This window comes from Homo sapiens, chromosome 10, assembly GCF_000001405.40.
Source record: "Homo sapiens chromosome 10, GRCh38.p14 Primary Assembly".
NCBI lineage: Eukaryota > Metazoa > Chordata > Mammalia > Primates > Hominidae > Homo > Homo sapiens.
This window is the reverse complement of record NC_000010.11, coordinates 102,336,727-102,358,956: the sequence shown is the minus strand read 5'-3', so window position 1 is coordinate 102,358,956 and position 22,230 is coordinate 102,336,727. Positions and strand designations below refer to the sequence as shown.

The 22,230-nt window shown below is 45.2% G+C and overlaps 1 protein-coding gene and 1 long non-coding RNA gene across 39 annotated transcripts in view; one reads left to right on the top strand and one right to left on the bottom strand.

The window, feature by feature from the left end:
* GBF1 (golgi brefeldin A resistant guanine nucleotide exchange factor 1) overlaps positions 1-22,230 on the bottom strand; it is a 152,254-nt gene that overhangs the window by 23,940 nt on the left and 106,084 nt on the right. For 24 of the 38 annotated variants that reach the window (NR_165086.1, NR_165089.1, NR_165088.1 and 21 more), the window contains 7 exons: positions 14,775-14,906; positions 7,583-7,701; positions 7,006-7,114; positions 6,439-6,499; positions 5,303-5,357; positions 771-918; positions 228-451 (listed from right to left, as the gene is read on the bottom strand). Coding sequence is in view for 32 of the 38 variants with exons in the window: in NM_001391924.1 (NP_001378853.1) it covers positions 228-451; positions 771-918; positions 5,303-5,357; positions 6,439-6,499; positions 7,006-7,114; positions 7,583-7,701; positions 14,775-14,906 (848 nt within the window). In the remaining 6 variants the exon portion in view is untranslated. Of the gene's footprint in view, positions 1-227; positions 452-770; positions 919-4,488; positions 4,588-5,302; positions 5,358-6,438; positions 6,500-7,005; positions 7,115-7,582; positions 7,702-14,774; positions 14,907-22,230 lie in introns of all 38 variants that reach the window. The other 14 variants (XR_001747253.3, XM_006718047.3, XM_006718049.3 and 11 more) reach the window with 3 other exon arrangements.
* Positions 7,641-11,743, top strand: LOC107984263 (uncharacterized). Its single transcript, XR_001747574.3, has 2 exons — positions 7,641-7,755; positions 11,398-11,743. It is a non-coding gene; the product is annotated as an uncharacterized LOC107984263 (long non-coding RNA).

Here is a 22,230-nt window from a genome sequence, read left to right as displayed (position 1 = left end):
CTACCTATATGCATAACTTGATAAATCTCATGAGCTATCTCTCACAGTGAGTCATGCTGTGGGTTTTCAAGGCAGTACAACCAATTCTGAGAAGCAGGAAAGATCAGAGCTTCTTTTGAAGTTACCCCAAGCTTCTTTCGAGCCAAGTCCTGCATAAAGGATCCAAAGGATCAAGCCATTTCCCACAGTGGAATACTGAAGAGGGACATTAAAAATCAAAGCCATACCTGGAGGTCAGGCTGCTCGGGAACACCTAGCTCACTGCTTCCAGGCTCTGTAGCTGTGCTGTACCCTGGAGAGCCAGGTTGCTCTAGATCAGTAAGGTCTTCCTTGGAAGTGGTTTGGGAGGAGAATTCCAGGCCACTGTCTGTAGAGGGACTGACCACTGCTGAGGCAGCTTCTGAACTTGCAGAGGAGATGGGAGTGGGCACATCAATGAAGGGCATGCCACCTGCCAAGAAAAGTATGTGACGCTTGAAGGAGAAGAAAGAGGCTGTGGGCAAAACAAACCCTCTATGGTACTAGGGTCTCTGTTTCCCAGATTACATGCTTATCTTTGCATATATTGGTCTCTAAAGTTGTCAGAGAACAACCTTAAGTCACTGCATAGTTGCTGAATGGTCACACTCTGATTTGACCTGGAGTTTCCCTTTTTGTTCTCAGCGCCAAGACCAAAGCCCCTCAGTTGGTTGGTCTTCAATTTCAAAATCCCTAAGAGAGAAAGGAGCTCTTCTTTTGTCTAATCAGAGGAAGTAGTCCAGGGCACTCACCAGTGAGGTTAGATGATAAGGTGGTTCCATTGGGAGTGGGCAGCTCTGAACCTGGTGTGACTTTGGTCATATGGCGTGGGGGCCGAGGGGATCTCTTCTGTTTCTTCCATTTGGATGAATCACTCATGCCTCCGGCTCTCATTTTCAGCTGGAAATATCATACCCCATTAGCAATGGTATTCAAACTAAGACTCTATCCCTATTAATCTCCCTTCATTTAGTCCTACTGATCTCTAGAAAACAAGCTATACCCCATATCTTTGCTAAAGTAAGACTCTAGACCATCAGTTCACATTCCTACTCTTCTAACTTGGCTTCTACATTTACCACTTCACAGGTTGGCATGGCAGCCTCCATGTAGAAGGTGACATTCTGTTTCTGGGCTGGTCATTGGTAGGGCCAGTCCTCACACTTATCACTCTGCTTCTCTGGGTCCTGAGTGTTACATTAAGCAGGAAATCCCGAGCCCTATGGATGATGCATGACCCTCTTGCAGAAAGTGTAAGGGCAGGGTTTCCTTTGCCCTGACACTCAGTTCTACAGGTGCATGGTCTCTCGGCTTTCCTCCTCAACTAGCTTGTAGAGCAGCCTCCTACTTGTAGTTTTATCCAACTATAAGAGCCTATTCCTTCCTGTCCTGGTTTTCTTACTGGTATGTGAGCTGGGCCTAAGCCATAAACATATTTTTTTTTTTTTTTTTGAGATGGAGTCTAGCTTTGCCACCCAGGCTGGAGTGCAGTGGCACGATCTCAGCTCACTGCAACCTCTGCCTCCTGGGTTCAAGTGATTCTCCTGCCTCAGCCTCCTGAGTAAATGGGATTACAGGTGTGGACCACCACGCCTGGATAATTTTTGTATTTTTAGTAGAGACAGGGTTTCACTATGTTGGCCAGGCTAGTCTCTAACTCCTGACCTTAGGTGATCTGCCTGCCCCAGCCTCCCAAAGTGCTGGGATTACAGGTGTGAGCCACTGCACCCAGCTAACATATCTCTTACTCTCTGGAATTTCTGTATCAGATTGGTCAAAAGCTCATTCCTTGGAGTTAAGGAAGGAGTGGCCTCCCAGTTTCTTTGTGGAGTTCAGGATAGAAGGTCATGTCACGCTGCTGCTGTGCTCTCTGCTGCTCCCAATTTGTTATATCAATGAGACTACCTGTCCCTCTGGCCCTCTCACTATTGGTCTTTCCAGATGCAGTTTTATGTTGTCAGATGGTAAGGCCACTGATTCCTTGACTCCTTGCTCTGTTGCACTCCCCTCTTGCTGTATTTCTGTTCTTCCTATAGCTTACTTTTAGTGGCAAGGGACAATCTCTATCACCTGTTTGTTAACTATTCCCTAGGATCTGTGTTTTTATGTATTTCCTCCATTCTAAGTTCAAAGTTACTTTGTTTAGGCCCCATTTTTTTTTTTTTTTTTTTTGAGACAGAGTCTCACTGTGCCACCCAGGCTGGAGTGCAGTGGCGTGATCTTGGCTCACTGCAAGCTCCGCCTCCTGGGTTCACGCCATTCTCCTGCCTCAGTCTCCTGAGTAGCTGGGACTACAGGCGCCCGCCACCAAGCCTGGCTAATTCTTTTTGTATTTTTAGTAGAGACGGGGTTTCACCGTGCTAGCCAGGATGGTCTCGATCTCCTGACCTCGTGATCCGCCCGCCTTGGCCTCCCAAAGTACTGGGATTACAGGTGTGAGCCACTGTGCCCGGCCCAATTTGTTTTTTAAGCCCTGATGTTTTCTCAGTTGGGTTTGAACTCAGTCCCTCTACAAAGTCATTCTAAACTATTCCTAGACTGATAGACCATTCTTGGATTGGACCATTCCTGGATTGGGCAATGGCAACACTCTTCCAGAAACCATTAGAATGACTCTAAAGAGAGCAGAAGCACTTTTTCTCTCTGCCTCTTCCTAAAGGCTGAATATATCCTATTGTCCATGGCCTGTTCAATTCCTTTTGATAGTGAGGGATTGACTCCCTTCCTCAAGCTCCCCCAAGCTCTCAGAACCTGGGTAATCTTTGATTCCTTGCTTAGAAACCACACAATTCTTCCATTCCTACCCATAGCTCCTTCCAATAAAGATGAGGCTGAACAGCTGAGCCCTTCCTTCCCCCAGCTCTTAGTAACATAGCAACAGCCTCATACTGGATTTATACTTCTAGATGATCCATCTCCAAAATGCCTGCAGTCATATGCTTAGAACTGAGCTTCAGGCGTACTGACCGCTATAGCTAAGGAGGAAGCAAAAGGATTCTCTCCCCAGGAACCACTGGAGCTCAACTGGATCAAGTTCATAGTAAAAAATGTTATGGGAGAAGAGTCCGCCAAACATGCAAAAGGGCAAGAGGCCAAGAGATCAATGAGAGACCTCCTGGCTCTACTGGCAGTTATCATTGAGCTCCCAAAAGTACTAAGAACTGGATCTACTTTTATGAGGTAGCCTTTCTCTCCAGGAGGCTCCCCCATTTCAGGGACTCCAGGCAGTCCTACTTCCACTGAGAAGCCAGTCAGTCATTGAGATTCCTTCCCATACGAGGATCAGTTTTTCACGTTTCCTTCTCTATCTTCTGCAAAGCTTGCTCCAACCTGATCATTTCAATTAGTGTTCTCAGCCTGCTGGCTGGAGTAGGGGCCAAGAGGCTGCCAGTTCTCACGAATGCCTCAGCCCTTAAAAGGTATAGCTATTCTCCCTCTCCTAAGGTCTGAAGGTGTGGGGTGGGCAGTAGGTATTCATGGAATTCTACGCCACCTTATCTGTATGACTCTGTACTCCAAAGGACAGTGTAAGCTTTACAAAAAAGGAGCAGGTCCCAGGTTAATAATCATGGCAACATGCTGGATAGCCACTAATGAGAGCTGCAGCTTGAGACTGTGCAAGCACACAAATGAAATGACACAATGCATTCAAAGAGAACACGGGCCAATGGACTATCTAGCTAGGTGTACATACACAGAGTTTTTTACTTTCAGTGACCTGTATGTCCACAACCACACCTTCAGCATGCACACTCTTGTGATGGACAGCCCAGACAGCCCACACCTCCTTCTCTCCCCTTTCTTCCTAAGGCAGGTATATGCAGATTAGGGTAATCTTTAGCTTGGATCCCTCCCCTAAGCTCCCCTATACCTTGACTTTTAGAGGACAGAGGGCATCTTCACAGATCCCAAAGTATTCCCAGTGTCCTGGGCTATCCTGGCACCTGGCTTCTTTCCATCAATCTAGAGTTCTAATCCTTGGAATGACCTCTTTAATGGTAACCAAGAAAAAAAAAAAAAAAAAAGATCCCAACTAGATGGACTACCCTTTCCCTCCAAACCCAGTCCAGGTAATCCAGATAGAGCTGAGGACTGTGCTTAAGCTCTCTATGCCAGCTCTGAGACAAGGATAAGGTAGAAGGGGGAAGGGTCTTGCTTGAAGGTCCCTCACGGTTTCCCTAGAAATGGTAGATCTTAAGCCTCCCCACAAGGTAACAGCAGACCCCAGGCTTTCTAGGCTAACTATGTGATGTTCAAGTCTTCCTTCTCCTGTATCCAGGCAACCAGATGCCCCAGGAGAATTCCCAACACTGCAAAGCTACAATCACGTGCAACTCTTCCAAAGCCGTGCTGTGTTACTAGGGAGGAGTAAGTTGTGCTCTACACAATGGAAATGGGACCCAGGTGTTATATATAAAAAATAAACATTGAAAGAAATAAAAAGGGGAAGGGAAAGAGAGGGAGAGAGACCTTGAGGTTCTTAAAGAGTAGTACCCTCTCTAACTGGTTCAGGGCTTTGGTCTGCTCCCCACTACTTAGCTCCAGTTTGTTGAGGAGACATGGAGATATCTGCGAAAGACAGGCAAACGCACGATTTAACAGTGAAATAAACTCAGACACATACCAACAGGGAACAGGGCAGGAATGGGGATGGATGACAGGGGAGAGGAGAAGGTCAGGTGCATGCATCACACAGCTAAGGGTCATCTCCATAGGTAGACCCTCTTAGGGCTGCAAGCGGAATCCTCATCAGAGGCCCGTGAAGTCCAGGGCTTCAGTTCAAGATAGAAAGAAGCCATTCTTTTGACCACTATTCTTCTCCTAGCAGTTTAAGAACCCTTTGGTTCTTAACTTGACTAATCTCTTCAATACAGACTAGCACAAGCAAGAGCCCAGTCTAATTCAGCATTGAGGTAGGATTTGGGACATAGCCTCTCTAGGCCTTCTACCTGCGGATAAGGCTAAGTCTTGAGGGGATGGCAGGACTTTCATCTTTGTCAACAGACATTTTTAGCCAAGACTGATGGGTACCATGCAGTTTCCATGAAGAACTGGCTCACCAGCTTACATGGTGGTTCAAAGATAGGCCAGAGCAGAAAAGCTGAGGAAGGGATATATCTGGAAGAGAATACATTTCTCACGAAAGGAGTGAGAGCTACTTCTAGATTCCAAGCAGACCTGTTTAGGCAAAAGCATATCTTTGCTAAGCAAGGTTACCCCAAGGCACTGAAGTTGGGAGATTAAGGTTTGGATGAGGGACAGCAGATCAGCTCTCAGATCATACCTTCTTCATGTTGGTCCCCACATAGTTCTTGGGTTCTTCTTTAAACTGAGGTAACCTATAAGATAGAAAATCCATCAACTGTCATTAGGGATAATGACAAATGTCTCCCTCCATGCCAGCCACAAACCAAAGGTGCTCTGAGCCAGAGCATGCCCTGTGTCTTAGAAAAGGCTACAAAAGAGAAGCAGACTAATTTCATCCTTTTCAGAGCTTCATCAAAGAGCCACAGGAATCGGGGGATGTGTGACATGGACAAAAGGAGGTAGTTGTGAGAGCAAGGTAAGTGCCCTTGGAGTGTGGAGGCTCTTTTTATCCTGAGACTGATTCCTTCCTGCTTATATTTACTTGGCAAATACTGCTGCCAAGAGATGGGGGGAGGGCAGTCTATCAAAACCCTAGGAGAGTGGGCAAAAGAGAAGAATTAACAGGCAGGTTGAAGTTTTGAAACCAGTAAATTTGAGCCTGAGGAGCAAAAAATTCTTTGCAGCAGGATCCAAGGGCAGTCTAGTCTGTAGATAATAAGGATTATTATCTATAGATTTGAGAGCAAAAAGAAATCCCAGAGGAAGGTTTAAAGCCATTGCCTCAGCTCTTCTGTGAGTCTGTTGAAAGGAGGTGCAGGAAACAGGCCTAGTATGAAAAGGCCTCCTAGGCCCTAGGCTAAGGGCCTTACCAAAGGGTAACCAACCATCTTGGTTTGCCTGGGACTGAGGGGGGTTTGCCAGGATGCAGAACTTTTAGTGCTGAAATCAGGACAGTCCCAGGCAATTCACAATTGCTAGTCACCCTAATTTTGGCCCTCTCCCACAGAAATCATGATCCCTTGAGTTTGGCTTCCTCTCTGGGTTCCCTTTCCCAGCTGCTACCTGCACAGAAACAGACACAAATTTGGGAAGCAGAATGAGGTCTGCTGGCCTATATTAAATAACCCTCTGCCTCCCCGTGAGGCCAAATCAGCTCCCTCCTCCTTCTCCCTTGCTCAGTAACCCTGGGCCCAGAGAACTACCCCCCATCCATAATCCCAGTGGCCTCTGATGCGGCTGTGGGGTTGGCCAGGTCCCTGACGTGGCTGTGTGGAAGCAGGCAGACTCAAGAGGCCTGGGCAGCCGGGCTGAAGCAAACAGCAGCAGGTTTACCTTGTGAAGAGCAGCTGCACCATGTCTACGAGAGTGTGCTCTGCGGATTTTCTCAATAACTCTGCACAGGCAAAAACAAATAACACAGGTGTCATTACTTGCTGTGCTATTATCAAGAGGGTTCTCAGAGCAGACTCCCCTCCAAACCTTGTTTACCAAGGATTATGCCAAACTTATTAAAACCAGCTCCAGCTCAGCCTGGCAGCCAGAACTTCACTGGCCCACTAGGTGGCACTACTGAGTCAGGGAAAAAAGGGGAGGTATAGATGTGTTCTAGGGGGTTGCAGGTTGGTGTCAATCCCAGAAACCCCAAGAGAGGGTGATTTGGTGCCTGGGCTAAGTCAATCTGGGATCCATCCCAACTCCTGCCCTGGCATAATGGGCTGAGGTCTCTATTCTAGCTTCACAATAGCCAAGTACAGACATTTCTTCTAGACCCCTATGATCGCATGAGATAGATGATGGAGAAGTCCTGAATTTTCCATCTCTCTGGGAAGACAGCCTCCTGTATTCATACTCAGACACTGGCCCCAGGAATGGTGAAGGGGCTAATATCCAAGCACCTACCACTGAGCCTCATTTCAAAGCAGATCCGGAAGCAAGACTGCATAATCTCACACACAGATTCATTGGTTAGGTGGGCACCCACTGGGGTTAGCAGCAGAGTCCGTAGAACCTATCAGGAAGAAAAAGGAATTACTGTGATAAACAAGGTACTGAGAGGTACTCAAGGGTAAGAGAGAGGGGTTAGCAAGAATGCTGACCTCACCTCAGCTTGGTAGAGAGGTCTCCAAGAAGCTTGTCCTTGGAATTGTTTCTTCACTTTTTATGACCCTGACATATTTCAGAACTGATTCTAGCCCTAGCCCATGAGCCCAAGAGATGGACGGCACAAATACAGTCGGCCAGAGGTACAAGTGTATTTAAGGCTTCTGGTATTTGACATCACTTCATATAAAGCTTTTACTGATTTTCCTTAGAAAAAGCTTTTACTTTGGGTACCCCAGCTGCTTGTCTGGAAACAAAGTAGCTCCCCTAAGCCCCAGTGGAGTCAAAACACAGTTTCATGCTGTGGGCAGAGTAAGTAGAGTCTGCGGCACCAGCCCCTGGCCATTAGCCTAATTGCTATTTCCCTCTCGCTTACCTGAAGGATTTTCATCAGGACAACTTCATCACTGGCAGGATCCGTGCCCACAAAACGAGCATGGGTGACAGCATCTGCCATGTTCTCCATGCCCTCTGCTGTGCCCTCATGGGTGGGATCTGCTCCAGCGAAAAAGGAAAGATTAAGTGATGTGGAGAGGAGAGAGATAAAAGGTAAGGCAGCCTGTCTAGCTTTGAGAGACAGTTTTTCCTCTTCAGTTCCCTAACCCGTGGCTCCTTGAGCTACCTGAGAATTTTTGCCCACAACTGATTTTTTTTTTTTTTTTTTGAGACAGAGTCTCACTTTGTGGCCCAGGCTGGAGTGCAATGACGTGATCTCAGCTTACTGCAACCTCCGCCTCTTGGGTTCAAGCGATTTTCCTGCCTTAGCCTCCCGAGTAGCTGGCATTACAGGCGCCCACCACCATGCCCAGCTAATTTTTTTTGTACTTTTAGTAGAGATGGGGTTTTGCCATGTTGGCTAGGCTGGTCTTGAACTCCTGACCTCAGGTGATCCACCTGCCTCGGCCTCCCAAAGTGCTGGGATTACAGATGTGAGCCACTGCACCCGGCCCCATAACTGGTTTTAATGAGCTCCTCAACACAAAATCCACTGGGTAAAACTGTGGTTCTCAATTGCTGGACCCATACCACAAAGTTTTGATTTTGTATGCCCAGAGTGGGGCCTGAGAATTTGTGTTTCTAACAAGACCCCAGTTGAAGTTAAACACCACCGAGCAGGGGACCATACTCTGGGAATCACTAGTATAAATCTACTAATTTCATAGACGAGGGGCCTGGAAACAAGAGTTTTTGACTCAGAACAAGAACCAGGTAGGGCCAAAGCTTGTGGCCTTTTCTCCTTTCATCTTTCAACACAGCTTCTCTCTCTGGTTGCTTTTGGAGTTTTGTGTTCAGGCGCAACTGAATTAGGGGAGCAGGAGGAGGAAATGAACACTCACTGCCGCCAATACTCATATCTGAGTGCCACATTACAGCAGATTGAAGACTTTTTTTTTTTTTTTGGAGATGGAGTTTCGCTCTTGTTGGCAGGCTGGAGTGCTATGGTGAGATCCTGGCTCACTGCAACCTCCGTCTCCTAGGTTCAAGCGATTCTCCTGCCTGAGGCTTCCCGAGTAGCTGGGATTACAGGCATGCGCCGCCACGCCTGGCTAATTTTGTATTTTTAGTAGAGACAGGGTTTCTCCATGTTGGTCAGGCTGGTCTCGAACTCCCGACCTCAGGTATCTGCCAGCCTCGGCCTCCCAAAGTGCTGGGATTACAGGTGTGAGCTACCATGCCTGGCCCAAAGACCTCTTCTTTAGTTTCATTCTTATTTAAAATAATATGACGACGAGCAAGAATCCTGTTTCCAGCTTAACAGGCATTAGGAGAGAAAAAAGATAAACTAAACAGGACTGGAGGCTGACTAGCTGGGGGGTAGGCAGGAGGGAGAATTTCAGCTGTACAGAATAAGAGGGGAGAAGCTAGAGGTCAGACAACCGGCACCACGCTGGAAATGAACACAAATGCTATTAAGCAGGGAACTCAGCTCCCATTCATGTATTAAATAGCCACGAGAAATAGCCAAATAAGTTGTCACCATCAAGGGTCTTGCCTAGCTCCTGCCCTAGGTCTGCTCTGAAGGATCCTTTCCAGAGCTGTTTAGTTCTAAAGGGGGAGCCTAAGTAGGGGGAAAGGGCAGGCATATGAAAAAGCTTTGTGAGTGACAGAGAAAGTTGCTCCAGAGGTGGCATGGTGTAATGCAGGAACACCCCCTAATTTTAGTCACAGGAATTATAAGATTGTTGTTATTTTTTCTCTCTCTTTCTTTTGAATTGAGACAGAGTCTCACTCTGTCATCCAGGCCAGATGGAGTCCAGTGGCATGATCTCGGATCACTGCAACCTCTGCCTCCTGGGTTCAAGCAATTCTCCTGCCTCAGCCTCCTGAGTAGCTGGGATTACAGGTGCCTGCCACCACACCCAGCAATTTTTGTATTTTTAGTAGAGATGGGGTTTCACCATGTTGGCCAGGCTGGTCACAAACTCCTGACCTCAGGTGATTCACCCACCTTGGCCTCCCAAAGTACTGGGATTACAGGCTTGGGCCACTGTGCCCAGCCCATTTTCTCTTTCTTGGTACCTGAAATCAGAGAGTTCCTGAGCCTAAAGCTCAGGGGATGGCTGAGAACCTAAACTTTTTTTTTTCTTTTTTTGTTTTTAAATAGACAGGGTCTTGCTCTATCGCCCAGGCTGGGGTGCAGTGGTGCAATCATGGCTCACTGCTGCCTCGACCTCTGGGGCTCAAGTGATCCTCCTACCTAAGCCTCCTTAGTAGCTAGGACTACAGATGTGTGCTAACATGCCAGGAGAATTTTTGTATTTTTTATAGACATGGGGTTTCCCCATATTGTCCAGGCTGGTCTTGAACTCCTGGGCTCAAGTGATCTGCCTGCCTGGACCCCCAAAGTGCTGGGATTACAGGTGTGAGCCACTGTGCCTGGCCCCCAAACATTTCTCTTGCAATGATAAGCCAGAAGTCTTTTACTAATTGTGAATGTTTCCTCTTTTTCTTCTGTCCTCATTAGCCTCCGACACCACATCAAGACTTTCTTTGTCCTATTTACAGTGTCCTTCTACTCAGCACTGGGAGTAGTTACTTTAGAGGTCATGCAGAAGGAAGCCAGTTTCATGACATATAATAAAATGGGGTGACCCAGCTCCTCCTATCACACCACCTCTCCACGTTTCTCCCGATCAGCACAAAAAAATCCCATACTCTCAGGGCCTCTATCTCATAGCCCTGCCTGACAGTCCCTACCCAGGCCACCAGGGCCCACATAGGAAACCCAGGTCCTTCTCAGTGTTGTGTAGCATTTCAGAGATAAGTGAATAGTAGCCTTGTTCCCATCTCACAAGGCTCCTGGGGATCCATTTCTTCCTCTCTTTCAGTAATCTCTCTTGTTAAGGTGTCTTTTAAATTATTACTTTGAATCAGACACTCCTTCCATCCCCCAACCAGAATAGATTCAGAGAGACTCCATTAATGGGGTTTAAGCTCTACTGATCTCTTTGTAGTTCTTGTCCCCTGAGGTTGAATGAAGTAGCAAAGTTAATTTTCTAAACAGGCAGTTATGGGCTGGGCACGGTGGCTCATGCCTGTAATCCCAGCATTTTGGGAGGCTGAGGTGGGCAGATTGCCGGAGCTCAGGAGTTCGAGACCAGCCTGGCCAATACAGCGAGACCCCATCTCTACTAAAAATACAAAAATTAGCCGGGCGTGGTGGTGCATGCCTGTGGTCCCAGCTACTTGGGAGGCTGAGGCATGAGAATTGCTTGAACTCAGGAAATGGAGGTTGCAGTGAGCCAAGATCACACCAGTGCACTCCAACCTGGGCAACAGAGCGAACTGTCTCAATAAAAACCAATAAAAAATAAAAATAAAAAGGCAGACTAGAGTGACAGGTCTTTGACAAGAACCATAGGCAAGGCTTGCTAGCAACCCATGAAATCCATGGCACAAAAATTCTGGTCTGGCAGCTGTATGGGGCCAAACAAAAGGCTAGTCCTTGGAGGATCTAAAATAATCCCTGAAACCTTGGATCATAGGAGCAAGAGACAGGAGTTTTCTTCTAGAAGAGCAGCCTAAACCCTTCTTTAAAATGTCCTCCTCTTCTGGCTACTCTGGAACCAACTTCAGGGAAATCTGCCAATCCCATCTCCTTTGCTTTCTTGGCTTTCATACACTCCTTCCTGCTCCTTTTCTCATGCCCACTGCAATAACCACCTCCAGCATTCTCCTTTCCCACCACAGGAAACTCCAATGACCAGGTGGCCTGAGGTCTCCAATGACCAGCCTGTCTGCCAAGTCCAGGAAGAGGAAAGAGTAACACCAACAAGACAGCAGAGGGAAAAGGCACAGCAGCGGCAGCCACTGGAGGCTGTGAAGAAAGATGACCTGCAGGTGGTGCTCAGGGCAAGGCTGGAAGTGGCTGGGCCTGATTTTGTTTAGGAAAAGTATGAAGCTGGGACTAGGGTGTCGGAGAGGCTGATGCACCTGTTCAGAAGCTAGTTGGTACCCAGGATTCCTGCTCAGGATCCTGAATGCATCAGCTAAGCAAATCCAACATTTCTAGAATAAAGGGTTTTCTTGCTCTGAACTGAAGACTATTTTCTTTTCTGGCTAGCTAAAGCCTGAGCCTTATCTTTTCTTGTCTCCCTGCTTAAGAAACAAAGACAGCTGCCTGTTTTCTATATTCTTCATCCTTGTACATGGGCTGCCAATCAGGGAAAATGAATTCCCAAATTGAGTGTCAAGACCAACTAAAAAAGAAATCCAAAGAAAGACACCATGAAGAAATTTAGAGATAAACTACAGATTAAGGGAAATATTTGGCCTAGATTAGGAGCAAATAATTGTAATGCTATGAAAGGCAATGGGTTAATATTCCTACCATACAAAGAACTCCTACAAATTGACATGAAAAACAAACCCAACTCAATTAAAAAAAGAAGTGAAGGACAGGAAATTCAAATGTTCAGCCTCCAGGAAATAAAAGCAACAAAAGGCTGAGTGCAATGGCTCACATCCGTAATCCTAGCACTTTGGGAGGCCAAGGTGGTGGATTTCTTGAGCTCAGGAGTTCAAGACCAGCCTGGGCAACATGGAGAAACTCCACTTCTACTAAAAGTACAAAAACTAGCTGGGTGTGGTGGCGTGTGCCTATAGTCCCAGCTACTTGGGAGGCGGAGGTGGGAGGATCACCTGAGCCCGAAGGTCAAGGCTGCAGTGAGCCGTGATTGTGCCACTGCACTCCAGTCTGGGTGACAGAGCAAGACCCTGTCTCAAAAAATAAAAACAAAATATCATTTTTTACTTACCAAGTTGGCACAAATAAAACTGATAATATTCAGTGCTGATGACAGGGTAAGGAAGTAGAAATTCTCAATCACTGCTGGTGGAAGTATAAATGATGTAACCTTTTGGGGAAGCAACCTGGTAATAGCTATAAAAATGCAATATGCACGTGGTCTTTAATCCAGAAATTCCAAGTTCAGAAATCTTTCATACAAGAGTAAAATTAGCAATAAGGGGCCGGGCATGGTGGCTCATGCCTATAATCCCAGCACTTTGGGAAGCCGAGGCGGGTGGATCACAAGGTCAGGAGTTTGAGACCAGCCTGGCCAATATGGTGAAACCCTGTCTCTACTAAAAATACAAAAATTAGCCGGGCGTGGTGGCACAAAATGGTGAAACCCCGTCTCTACTAAAAATAAAAATTAAAAAAATTATTAATAAGGACATGTGATCAAGGATGCTTATATTAGCATTATTTATGACTTCAATAGGAAACAATCTTAAATATTAAGAATGAGCACATGAATTGTGTTATATCTATATTACACTATGGAAATTATAGAGCTAGTAAAAAAAATCATACAAGGGGCTGAGGGGAGAGAGAAATGGGGAGTTATTGGTTAATGTTAACTCCCCATTATGTTAAGTTTCTATTTGGGGTAATAAAAATGTTTGGGAAATAGATGGTGGTGACGGCTGCACAACATTGTGAGTGTAATTAATGCCAATGAATTGTAAACTGAAACTGATGGAAATAGCAAGTTTTATATATATTTTCTACAATATAAAAGAATAAATCAGATGAATAGTTATATCATGTACATTTAAGTTAATACTATCTGCTTTTTTTTTTTTTTTTTTTTTTTTTTGAGACGGAGTCTTGCTCTGTCACCCAGGCTGGAGTGCAATGGTGTGATCTTGGCTCACTGTAACTTCCGCCTCCCGGGTTCAAGTGATTCTCCTGCCTCAGCCTCCTGAGTAGCTGGGATTACAGGCACGTACCACCCTGCCTGGCTAATTTTTGTATTTTTAGTAGAGATGGGGTTTCACCATGTTAGGCTGGTCTCAAACTCCTGACCTCATGATCCGTCCGCCTCGGCCTCAAAAAGTGCTGGGATTACAGGCATGAGCCACTGTGCCTGGTCAAGTTAATACCATTAAATGAAAAAAGAAAATATGTAGCACATAATCCTATTTTTATTTCATTTTATTCTATTCTTTTTTTTTTTTTTTTGAGACAGAGTCTCGCTCTGTTGCTCAGGTTAGAGTACAGTGGCGCGATCTCTGCTCTCTGCAAACTCCGCCTCCCGGGTTCAAGCGATTCACCTGCCTCAGCCTCCCCAGTAGCTGGGGTTACAGAAGCCCGCCACCACGCCTGGCTAATATTTGTATTTTTAGTAGATACGGGGTTTCACCATGTTGGCCAGGCTGGTCTCAAACTCCTGACCTCGTGATCCACCCGCCTTGGCCACCCAAAGTGCTAGGCTTACAGGCGTGAGCCACCGCACCCGGCCTTATTTCATTTTAAAAAGGAATGGTACTTCATTTATAAAGACATAGAAAAACATAAAGATTCAAACTAGGCTGTTCACACTATTTGCCTAAAGAAGGAGGAGGAACATTGAGAAAGTACAGGAAGGACAATTAACTTTTCTTTTGAACATCTCTATTGTCTGTCTTCTTATAATGTGCATGCATTATGTTTGAAAAAATAACTTTAAAAATAAACCTAACCAGGCCAGGCACAGTGGCTCACACCTGTAATCCCAGCACTTTGGGAGGCCAAGGCGGGCAGATCATGAGGTCAGGAGATCGAAACCATCCTGGCTAACATGGTGAAACCCCGTCTTTACTAAAAATACAAAAAATTAGCTGGGCGTGGTGGTGGGCGCCTGTAGTCCCAGCTCCTCGGGAGGCTGAGGCAGGAGACTGGCATGAACCCGGGAGGTGGAGCTTGCAGTGAGCCGAGATCACACCACTGCACTCCAGCCTGGGCGACAGAGTGAGACTCCATCTCTAACTAAACAAACAAACAAACAAACAAACAAACCTAACCAAACTTCCAAGAGTAAGGTACCATACCCTTAACTCTTTCCAAAGCATAGAGAAGCCAGAGTGCCAAGGAAAACTTCTTCTCTTGCCCTTCCCACCCTGTACAACGTGAGTCAGCTAGCATGATGAATAACCAACAACAATCCTATTTCTCTTCTACAAGAAAAGAGGTGACTGGAAAAAATTTCCCACTATCACCAGCTCATTGCCTAAGGCCTGGGCACCCCAGGAAAGGTGGGAAATGAAGTGCTGTGGTCATGCAACAAAGCCTGAGCTCTTACCTATGAGTGCATAGGACAGGAACTTGTTGACAGAGGTGAGTGCCAGTCCAGTGATAGGGCCAGTGGTATCTTCAGAGCGAATCACTTCCAGAAAAGGTCGAAGGAATACATTGGGCTCAATTTCTGAGAGTTCTGCAAGAAAATACACAGAAATGAAGAGGTATCATCTAAGAGAAAACTAAACCCTGGAAAAAGTTTCTTGTTTGTGCCATGAGGCTAGAGGTCTTTGTTGTTGGGTCAATCTTCTTCCCTCTGGATTACCTTGAATCAAATCCCAGACACTGTATCATTTTATCTGTAAAATTTTCAGCATGTAGATCTAAAAGATTAGGAATCTTAAAAAAAGAACAAAAACACAATATTATCTTTTTTTTTTTTTTTTTGTCAGACAGAGTCCTGCTTTGGAGTGCAGTGGCATGATCTCAGCTCACTGCAAACCTCCACCTCCAGGGCTCAAGCCCCTCAGCCTCCTCAGTAGCTGGGACTATAGGCGTCTGTCACCATGCCCGGCTAATTTTGTATTTTTAGTAGAGATGGGGTTACACCATGTTGCCCAGGTTGGTCTCGAACTCCTGAGCTCAAGCAATTGTCCCTGCCTTGCCCTCCCAAAGAGCTAGGATTACAGGCGCGAGCCACCGTGCCTGGCCCACAATATTATGCTTAAAGAGTTAACAAACAGTTAAAATGGTAAATTTTGCATTATATGTATTTTATCACAATTTTTAAAAATTAACAATAATTTTTCAATATCATCAAATATTGTGAGTCAATTTTCCATGCCCATTTCACCACCCTCCCCTGTGATATAAATAGGTAACGTCATCTTGGGTAGAGCCAATGCGACCCTTAGGTCCCAAGGTGGGCTCCTGTCTTTATGTCCTTTGCTGTTATGGTCAGGGTCACTTCTCTTAGAGAAAGAGTGCAGCATATTCCAGGAGGGTGAGAGGAAACTCTGAGGTTTATAATCCCTTGCTGAGAAAAAAGTTTAACAAGAACAAAAGGCTGAGCAGTCTCTTAGTCATGGAGGCAGTCTGTAATCTTGGAAGTTCGTAACCACTGTCCGGCCTGTTTCCTGCCTAGAGTTAGCAGAGAACTAACTGCTCTGAGATGAAGGGGCAATTGATAATCTTTATTTTACAGATGAGAAAAGGCTCAGATAAGATACATGATTAGTCCCAAATCACACAACTAATATGCAGAGCTGGGATTTGAACCCAGCCTATGTGGTTTTAAAACTTGTAAAACCCCTTCATCTATTCTACCTAAATAGATGAAATTTTACTCCTGAATTTAGAAGATTCCATTCTAGGTCAAAGAATACTACACTGTACTTACTCCCTACCTTACTCTGACCAGAATTTAAATTTGTTTTTCTAGATTGTGCTGTGCTTTCATCTTTCAGAGACCAGCTCCCTAAAAGGCTTCCTAAAGAGACCAAAAGTGTTTAGGGATGTGATCTAGGCTGCCCCACCTTTAGAGACAAAAGGAAGCAGGGTTTCCTAAGCACCTTCATTTTCATGCAAATATAGGGAGCTGCCTACTCAGTTCCTACCACCCCCACTCCTCCCTGGGTAAACATTCCCTGGGCCCGGCTGCTCCTCAGATTAACGCTTTAATTAATTGGCAGATTGGGTAGCATTTTCCAAGCTTGTCTGTACAGTGATCACATCAGCTGTAAAAAAAACCTGCTTCTCTTCCCCTACTACCCCCACCTAGAGATGTAAAATTTACAGAAAAAACCTAGAGAAGAACGTGTGTGTGTGTCTGTGTGTGAGTGTGTGTGTGTGTGTGTGCGTGTGTGTGAAAAACTGAAATACATAACGTACTTTTAAAAAGCACATAAAAGGGCCGGGCACGGTGGCTCATGCCTGTAATCCTAGCACTTTGGGAGGCCGAGGCGGGCGCATCACGAGGTCAGGAGATCGAGACCATCCTGGCTAACATGGTGAAACCTGGTCTCTACTAAAAATACAAAAAAATTAGCTGGGTGTGGTGGTGGGCACCTGTAGTCCCAGCTACTCGGGAGGCTGAGGCAGGAGAATGGTGTGAACCCAGGAGGCAGAGCTTTCAGTGAGCTGAGGTCACGCCACTGCACTCCAGCCTGGGTGACAGAACAAGACTCCGACTCAAAAAAAAAAAAAAAAGTACATAAAAAAATGTAAAGTCATCTAGTCTTGCTGCTTTAGGAGCATGAATTATGTACAATTTGGTTTGTTATCTTAAAAGTGGTCATGAGGTATATTTGACATATAAAAGTCTAGAGGAAAAAAATCTTTGAGAATCGGGACAGGTACAGATTTTCTGTGATTTCATTTAGTTGCTACAACTATATACTTGCTTCATGTCTTCCTTCACGGTAAAAGAGTAGGGCAGTTTTATATATGGGGTCCACACTTCTAGGGTGATGTGCATTCAGCCTCTTTTTGCTAATTTGGTAAAATTAATTCTTTTCTTTAAATGAATGATTTATACAGCATGTAATTTTACAGCCAATTTTCAGACTGGCTTCCTTCATTCAACATGATGACTGAAATTTTTCCAAGCTATTGCATATATCAATAGCTTGTTTCTTTTTACTGCTGAGTAGTATTCATTGCCTGTATGTATCAGTTTCTTTATCCATTCACTGGTTGAAGGACATGTGGGATCTCCAGTTTGGGGCAATTATGAATGGAGCTGCTATAAACATTTGTGTATCAGTGTTTGTGTGAACACAGGTTTCCACTTCTTTAGGGTAAGTACCCAGGGGTAGGATTCCTGGGTCAAAAGGTAAAGGTGTGGTTAGCTTTACTGTCAAACTCTTTTCCAATGTCATTTTATCACTTTGTATTCCCACTAGCAATAAGAATTCTAGTTTCTCCACATCCTCTTCAGTACTTTGTATTTCAGTGTTTTTACTTAAGCGATTCAAGTATGTATGTAATAGTAGCTCCATGTGGTTTAAATTTGCATTTCTCTAATGACTAATTATGTTGAACATCTTTTCATGTGCTTATTTGCCGTCTGTATATCCTTTTGGGTGACATGTCTGCTCAAGTCTTTTATCCATTATTAAACTAAATTGTTTTCTTACTATTGAGTTTGGAGACTTCTTTATTCTGAATTCAAGTCCTTCAGTAGTGATACAGTTATTTCTAAGTATTTTCTCCCAGTCTTAAGCTTATTTTTTCATTCCCTTAACATCTTTCATAGAACAGACACTTTTACTCTTGATGAAGTCCAACTTATTAATATTTTATGGATTGTGTTTTGGTTTAATGTCTAAATTGACTCTGCCTAATTCCAAGTCACAAAGATTTCCACCCTCCCATTTTCTCCTAAAATGTTTACAGATTTATGTTTTTCACCTATGATCTATTTTCAGTTAATTTTTGCATAAGGTGTGAGGTTTAGATTGAGGCTCATTTTTCCTTTGCCTAAGAATTTCCTACTGTTTCCAACATATCTCATTAAGTTGTCTTTGCACCTTTGTCAAAAATAAATTGACCAGGTTGGGCACTGGTCCCAGCACTTTGGAAGACTGAGGTGGGTGGATCCCTTGAGTCTAGGAGTTCGAGACCAGCCTGGGCAACATAGTGAGATCATCTCTACAGAAAATAATTAAAAAAACGGCCAGGCGTGGTGGCTCACGCCTGTAATCCCAGCACTTTGGGAGGCCGAGGCAGGCGGATCACAAGGTCAGGAGATCGAGACCATCCTGGCTAACACGGTGAAACCCCGTCTCTACTAAAAATACAAAAAATTAGCCAGGCGTGGTGGCGGGAGCCTGTAGTCCCAGCTACTCAGGAAGGCTGAGGCAGGAGAATGGCGTGAACCTGGGAGGCAGAGCTTGCAGTGAGCGGAGATCGTGCCACTGCACTCCAGCCTGGGCAACACAGCGAGACTCTGTCTCAAAAAAAAAAAAAAAAAAAAAAAGGCATGGACCAGGAGCAGTGGCTCATGCCTCATGCCTATAATCCCAGCACTTTGGGAGGCTGAGGTGGGTGGATCACCTGAGGTCAGGAGTTCAAGACCAGCCTGGCAAACATGGTGAAACCCCATCTCTACCAAAAAATACAAAAATTAGTGGGGCATGGTGGCGCGCACCTGTAGTCCCAGCTACTGGGGAGGCTGAGGTGAAAGAATATCTTGAACCCAGGAGGTAGAGGCTGCAGTGAGCTGAGATCGTGCCACTGCACTCCAGCCTGGGTGACAAAGTGAGATCCTGTCTCAAAAAAAAAAAAAAAAAATTAACCAGGTATGATGGCATGTGCCTGTAGTCCCAGCGACTCAGGAGGCTGAGGTGAGAGGATTGCTTGAGCCTGGGAGGCTGAGGCTGCAGTGAACTGTGATCATACCACTGCACTCCAGCCTGGGGTGACAGAGTAAGACCCTGTTCCAAAAAATAAAAATTAAATTGGCCATATTTTTGTGAGTCTCTTCTGGGTTCTGTTCTGTTTCATTGATCTATGTGTCTAAGTCTGACAACACGACACTGTGTTAATTATTATAAATATATACTAAGTCTTTTTTTTTTTGAGACGGAGTCTTGCTCTGTTACCCAGGCTAGAGTGCAGTGGCTCGATCTTGGCTCACTGCAACCTTGCCTCCTGGGTTCAAGCGATTCTCCTGCCTCAGCCTCCTGAGTAGCTGGGACTACAGGAACGTGCCACCACGCCCAGTTAATTTTTTTGTACTTTTAGTAGAGACGGGGTTTCACCATGTTGGCCAGGATGGTCTCGATCTCTTGACCCTGTGATCTGTCCGCCTCAGCCTCCCAAAGTGCTGGCATTACAGGCATAAGCCACTGTGCCCTGCCGATATATACTAAGTCTTTTTTTGAGACAGAGTCTCGCTCTGTCACCCAGGCTGGAGTGCAGTGGCATGATCTCGGCTCACTGCAACCTCTACCTCCCGGGTTCAAGTGATTCTCATGCCTCAGCCTCCTGAGTAGTTGGGATTACAGGCACACACCACCTCGTCTGGCTAATTTTTGTATTTTTAGTATAGACGAGATTTTGCCATGTTGGCCAGGCTGGTCTTGAACTCCTGACCTCAGGTGATCCACCCGTCTCGGCCTTCCAAAGTGCTGGGATTATAGGCGTGAGCCACCATGCCCGGCTTATACTAAGTCTTAATAACAGTGGTGTGATTCCTCCAACTTCATTTTTTTTTCCAATATCATTCAGTGTTCCAATTCCTTTGCCTTTCCATTTCAATTTAAGACAAACTTGCCTTGTTGGAAGTTTGAAAGGAATTGCATTGAGTCTATAGATCAATTTGGGGAGACATGATATCTTTGCTATGTTGTGCCTACCAATTCATGAACTTGGTATGTCTCTCCATTATTCAGATCTTCTTGGTTTCTCTCATCACTGTACTGATGAGCGCCACCACGCCCAGCTAATTTTGTATTTTTAGTAGAGACGGGGTATCTCCATGTTTGTCAGGCTGGTCTCAAACTCCCAACCTCAGGTAATCCGCCTGCCTTGGCCTACCAAAGTGCTGGGATTACAGGTGTAAGCCACCGCACCCAGCCGAGGCTCTGTGTGTAACCCTCACACAGCATACAATTCAGTCAATGGACTAGTCTCACTCCTATCAATAGCCAGATATATGATACCCAAGACCTTCATCTGTCAAATTAGATAGTTGAAATCGGCTGGGCGCAGTGGCTCACACCTCTAATCCCAGCACTTTGGGAGGCCGAGGTGAGTGGATCACTTGAGGTCACGAGTTTCAGATCAGCCTGGCCAACATAGTGAAACCATGTCTCTAATAAAAATACAAAAAAAATTAGCCTGGTGTGGTGGCACGTGCCTGTAATCTCAGCTACTTTGGAGGCTGAGGCATGAGAATTGCTTCAACCTGGGAGGCAGAGGCTACAGTGAGCCGAGACTGCACCACTGCACTCCAGCCTGGGTGACAGAAGGAGACTCTGTCTCAAAAAAAAAAAAAAAAAAAAAGAAGAAGGTTGTTGGAATCTATGACTGCTAAGATATGTTCATTCCAGTACTTTCATTTGGTAAGTCAGTGCTTTATAGAAACCTACTGATGAAAAACTAGAAGGGTTAAACTTTTTAATGAGCCCACCAGGAACCTTCATTATCATGTCACTTCCCTACCTCTTCCAAAAAAGAGAATCATGATATATAAAGTTAACTTTCCTTAAAGAGTTTTGTCTAGGGAGAACAAGAGTTTTGCTCTCTAGGTTCAACTGTTGATTGCCAGGAGCATAAGAGAAGCTCTAACAGGAGCAACTCTGCAACAAGTGGGGTTGGGGGCAAGTTGAACTCCTAGTGGGGCATCACTAGTAAGGATATTTCTTTCTTTCTTTCTTTCTTTTTGAGACAGAGTCTTGCTCTGTCACCCAGGCTGGAGTGCAGTGGTGTGATCTCGGTTCACTGCAACCTCTGCCTCCTGGGTTCAAGCGATTCTCCTGCCTCAGCCTCCCAGGTAGCTGGGATTACAGGCATGTACCACCAGGCCCAGCTAATTTTTATATTTTTAGTAGAGATGGGGTTTCTTCATGTTGGCCAGGCTGGTCTCAAACTGCACTCCTGACCTCAGGTGGTCCACCTGTCTCAGCCTCCCAAAGTGCTGTGATTACAGGCGTGAGTCTCCACGTCCAGCCTTTAGTAAGGATATTTCTAATTTAAGGGGTAACTTTTTGTAAACATGTAATTTAAAAACAAACAAATTTGAATTTATAATCCTGGTGAGATGTTCAGATGGTTATCTAGAATAGTGCTTGTCAAATTATCTGTGATGAAGAGCAGTTTTTTCTTCTTTATGTCAATCCACTGCAGACCCATAGTTTTTTTTTTTTTTTTTGAGGCGGAGTCTCGCTCTGTCGCCCAGGCTGGAGTGCAGTGGCGAGATCTTGGCTCACTGCAAGCTCCCCCACGCACCATTCTTCCACCTCAGCCCCCCGAGTACCTGGGACTACAGGCGCCCACCACCATGCCCGGCTAACTTTTTGTATTTTTAGTAGAGATGGGGTTTCGCCGCGTTAGCCAGGATGGTCTCGACCTCCTGACCTCGTGATCCGCCCACCTCGGCCTCCCAAAGTGCTGGGATTACAGACGTGAGCCACCTCGCCCAGCCCGTGCAGACCCATAGTTTTATAAAATACAGTTAATTACTAGAAAAATTTTAAAAACATAAAGTCCAATTTTTTTATTACTAGAATCAACATACATGTAACTACTGTCACATTGTTATAAAATTTTTAAAATACTTTCAACTTCTGTATATATCTCTTTGTGTATAAGCAGCAGTTTGTAGGCTGCATCAGTTTTCTAGGGAACTGTTACTCAGAGATTAAACCATACCCTACAAAAATAAGTCATAATTTTTGACTGTTCAGGAAAATCCTCCAAATCCTAGGATATTACAGCTAAAATAGGGCCTGAAAATAATTTATAATGAGGTAACTGAGATTTAGGGAAGTTAAGTAATTTGTACAAGGCCAGTT